This window comes from Homo sapiens, chromosome 20 (assembly GCF_000001405.40).
Source record: "Homo sapiens chromosome 20, GRCh38.p14 Primary Assembly".
Taxonomy (NCBI): Eukaryota; Metazoa; Chordata; class Mammalia; order Primates; family Hominidae; genus Homo; species Homo sapiens.
In genome coordinates, this window is record NC_000020.11 from 20,968,516 (window position 1) to 20,973,311 (window position 4,796).

At 41.2% G+C, this 4,796-nt stretch overlaps 1 long non-coding RNA gene across 1 annotated transcript; it reads left to right on the plus strand.

The window, feature by feature from the left end:
• Nucleotides 1-1,932: 1,932 nt before the first annotated feature.
• LINC03083 (long intergenic non-protein coding RNA 3083) lies at nt 1,933-4,047 on the plus strand. The gene is made up of 2 exons (NR_186504.1): nt 1,933-2,033; nt 3,637-4,047. It is a non-coding gene; the product is annotated as a long intergenic non-protein coding RNA 3083 (long non-coding RNA).
• Nucleotides 4,048-4,796: the final 749 nt, after the last annotated feature.

The following is a 4,796-nucleotide window of genomic DNA, read 5'->3' on the forward strand; positions in this document are numbered from 1 at the left end:
AAACCAGTACTTTCGGTTAACTTTCATCAGAAACGGTAGATTTCTTTAGTATGGCCACTCGAGAAACATAGGTTTGTGTTAATTTTTTGTTTTGTTTTGTGGCTGTTTTTGTTTGTGACTGCTGGGAGAACAACAGGGTGGGGGAGATTTTGATGATGGTCGCTGATATTATTCTTGTATTTCTGTTTCTTAAAGTTCAAAGTACATAACTGGAAATACCTGTGGACGGTTGCCTTAAAAATATTTCTAATCATATTCGCCTAAAGAAAATAAAAACTACTACCTATTTTTAAAAAAAGGAATGCCAGAACTTATTTTTGCTTTTTTATTCTGGCTTTTCCCATGATATTTGAGTGGAATAATATGCTATGATGTTTATGTATGAAAAACAGAATACACTTGCATATGTTATGAGGAAGAAAGCTGCTTCTAGGAAAACGAACTTTTTTTTTCTTTTTTTATGTTTTAGGAAATGATTTATCAAAGTAACAAAATAACTCATTGGGAAAGCAGTGTTATTTATAAAAACAATCAGCCTTTGACTTCCTTTCATTTTTATAAGGCTAATGTAACAAGGATGTTGCAGAGGCAAAAATGAACTCGAATCCTTTTAACCATATGAACACTTATGAATTTTATTGCAGCTCCTATGTAACCACTTTATTTAACCAACTAAATAAAGCATGTACTTTTTAAAAATATTTAATGTTCAGCACCAAAAACTGTATCCAAAGAAAATGTACATTTCCTGTGTAATATCTGCCTTGCCTCGTTAATTCGTTAGAAAAAAATATATACAAACATATCCAGGGAAATGCTTTGGGTTTTTTCTAAAGTCATAGATGTTTGTGTAGAAAGGAATGGAACCATCTTCACACGTGAATTGAAAGCGGAGATCTTCAGTGCTGGAGTTCAGAAAATGAAGAGAACTTACAAAAATGTACAGCTGGGAATGCCATTCCAGTGGATCTTCCCCACCACGAAGTTATTACTGTGTGAACAATGTTCATTAGCTTTACCAATATTGTACTTCTGTTTATCTGCCATTACCATCTTCACAAAGTAAATCACTCCTGTTCTTCCCAGATCGCATCTCTTCCCCCACCCTCTGAAAACCAACATTTGTTACCCATAAGCAGGGGGGGACGCTTAGTGATAAGTATAATAGCTTAAATTGAATTTTCCTTCGAATGATTTAGTGAATACTAGAACACATTTTTACTTTGTTGTTTAGACTCAAGAAGGCATAAAATCTCCGCCATCTATTTATCATGTAGTTATTTTAATGTAAACATGTGTCCGTTTAGATGAAGTGTTTTCATTATTAAGCTAATTCCAACGTGTCTCAGATAGACCATGAGAAGGGAGCCGAGCTCTGGCTGATGGGGAACCGAAACCTGCCTCCGCTCAGCCTGCTGTCAGATATGTCTTCATTAGTTTTTTGTCATTCACCGGTGGCAAATGCTGTATAAATGGAATGATGATCAGGCCCGCCTTGATAACTTGTCTTATCTCATTAGTTTTCACATCAAAGTTAATCAGCAATGTGAATTGTAATTGCTAGAGGAGACAATGCGTAGATCGCTGGTTGCTTTTTTCCCCCTCCCCTGTATGGCATCTTGAAACATCAGCAGGCTGGCTGGAGCAGATAGGCTCGGAAGGAAAATGATGTGGAAGGCATAATAAGCGAGCTGCTCAGAATTAATGAGCTAACCCAGTAAGAAAAGAATGGCCAATCAATGTGAGTTGGGCAAATATAATTTAGAAATAATTGCTTGATTGGTTGCCTATAGTAGACTGATTTGACCACATACAAGGATTAAGAATTAAGATGTCAAGGCAAAAAATAATTTGGCAACTGAGGGCATGTAATTTTTTGTGTCCTTCCCTTTATGATTGAAAGAGATGGGTGTTTGAGATGCTATTCGCCAGAATGAAAACATTAGACACCCTCTCGTTCTCTTTCTGCTCCTCTCACAATGCAGGCCCATTCAGAACACAATTGTGATACTCCTGGACAGGACGTGAAAAAGGTATGGATTGAGAGAGAGAGAGAGAGAGAGAGCGTGTGTGTGTATGTGTGTGTGTTCCCATTTATTGCAGTTATGCCCAAAGGATGAATGGGTTGGTACATAAGGTGTTTGCATCTGCGCTGAGCTGCAACATCATTGGGAGGCATGGCAAAGTGAGAGATGTGGATATTTGCAAAATACGTCAATTGTCTGTCCTCGGCCGAAGAGTTCTGCTCACATCCTACATGTTCCTAATGCAATTTTCCCCACAGCTATTCACCAATTAGTAGAGGGCCCTTGCTATATTCTTCTGTCTAAACTATTGGGAAGGTTCAGCCAGAAGGTAAATTTGCTTTGATCTACATTACACCTAATTGAGTCACCAGCAATGTCTCTATCCCAACATCAAGAAATGTGAAAATGTTAGATTATTTCACTGGGGATTAAACCTAATTTTCGTGTGTTCTGCATTAACCTATTAGGCTGGCTAATCTGCATTGCTAATGTGACTGAGGCAGCTGTCACAGCTAAAGAAAAACATGATCATGCAATCCTTGAATGAATGATTCCCAGCCTGATTAGTCTTAGTGAAGTTAGCTGAGCCCTGGTGATAAGGAAGGAAAATTCCCAGGTTGCCAATAGCTTTGAAAATTATCAGACTGTAGGCAAAAATATACCTCATGATTCACAGGCTTCGGTCCAAATACCGAGTTGAGTGACATTATTTAAGACTGACTAAGGCTAACTCGAATTGTCGCTCGCATAAATGTTTGTGTTTATTTTAAGGGACTAACGTAATGGATGCAGATTTAAATGCTAATAGACGCCAGCCAGACACATAAAACCCCAGGCATTGTTACCCTGTTGGTCTTTTATTAACATAGATTAAATTGTAATATTTTCTAGATAAATTGGCAAAATCAGAAAGATGCATTGCCCCCCAGAATGCTCGATGAGGACGACTTTTGCAGGACTTCTGGTTTTTCGGGAGATGAGGATCACAGTAGTGGAAGTTTACACGTTCACTACTCTCATTATCAGTTTAAAAAAAAAGAAGAAGAAGAAAAATAGGGGAAAAATGTGTTTATAAGGAGGAAAATAGATTTCTGCAGCTCGCTGGCCAGAACCACTTTCTCTGTCTGTCCACTTAATTGGGAGGACTCGGCACGCATTTCTCCTCATCCCTGTATTTTGTTCGCTTGGAGAAGGCTTCGCTGCAGTTTCAAGACTTTGCGTGCTCCTCTCCATTTGATTTCAACAGCAAGAGAGCCACCATGATGGGTACCCTTCAGATGTGGAAAGTGTTCAAGGGAGTTTGGTGGCTGCAAATAGAGCTGGGAGTCCATTTAATCCGATTAGCAGTTCCGCAAAATGGGCCTCGACCCATTGTGGACAGAAGCCTTTACTTTATTTGTTTCCATTAGCCAAGAATCAGTTATCAGAAAAGTGGAATTTTGCCCCATCAGATTGCCCAGACAATCAACAGAAAATAAATGAGGAAATAGTCTAATGTGTCAATATTTGTCTTTTGGCCCTAATTGTCCACAGAGGGGACTTGCTGAGTGTGTGAAGTTGGCAGCCTGGGTTTATCTGTGTACTCTTGATGGTTTTTCCCACTGTGTAGGCACCGGAGCCGCTACGTGCACAGTAATGACATCTCAAAGGCCAACAGCACTGGCTGGAGAATAAAGGCGTTTTAAAGGTCTAAGAACACTGGATTGAAGAGCCAAGGAGAACCCTTGATGGATGAGGAGGAAGGCAGAGCCCAGCAAATGACAAGGCATTTGTGACCAGGTTTCCAATGCCGGAGTGAGGTAGAACAAAAGTACTGAAGAGACAGGAGCTTCCGTTCCTGCCCCGGTGCCAGCTTGTCTTTCCCGTTTCCCAGGAAGCTCAGCTGACTACAAGCCTACGGGGGTACGGCCCTCCTCTTATTTCTGTTGCCTCTTGTTAGTTGAGAAATGTTAGTGTCTCAAATTGTTTTAGTCCCTCAAATTGCCTTTAAGGATAATGGTAATAAAATGATTTAAGCTACAATATTTGAGTATTCACTATTTACCAGATACTATTCTAGGCACCGAATATTTGATTTCCCCCCAAGCCCCATGAGATGCTGCTATCATTAGGCCCATTTTACAGATGAGTCACTGAGGCCCTGAAAATAATTTGCCCATATTCACTCCACCAGTGGCCATAGAGCCATGCCTTGAACCTAGGCAGTCTCACAGGCTTTTCATTACCACTGGACCCCAGATTCCAGGGCCAGGCCTAGAGAGCCAGTGTCTCTTCAAATTTTACACCCTAAGTACCCACCAGAATCCCCTTCCCAGACACCTTCCTTCCTTCCTTTCTACTGATCTCTCCTTCGCCCCCTTGAAAAGCTCAAGACATGGCTGGGCATGGTGGCTCACGCCTATAATCCCTGCACTTTGGGAGGCTGGGGCGGGTGGATCGCCTGAGGTCAGGAGATGGAGATCAGCCTGGCCAACATGGTGAAACCCCATCTCTACTAAAAATACAAAAATTAGCCGGGCTTGGTGGCGGGCGCCTGTAATCCCAGCTAGTAGGGAGGCTGAGACAGGAGAATTGCTTGAACCTGGGAGGAGGAGGTTGCAGTGAGCCGAGGCTGCACCATTGCACTCCAGCCTGGGCAACAAGAGCAAAATTCCATCTCAAAAAAAAAAAAAAAAAAAAAGAAAAGAACAGCTCAAGCCACAACAATGGCAGAAATGGTGCACAAGCCCATCTCACACAGTCCCCCTGACTGAATGTTTTCAATAACAA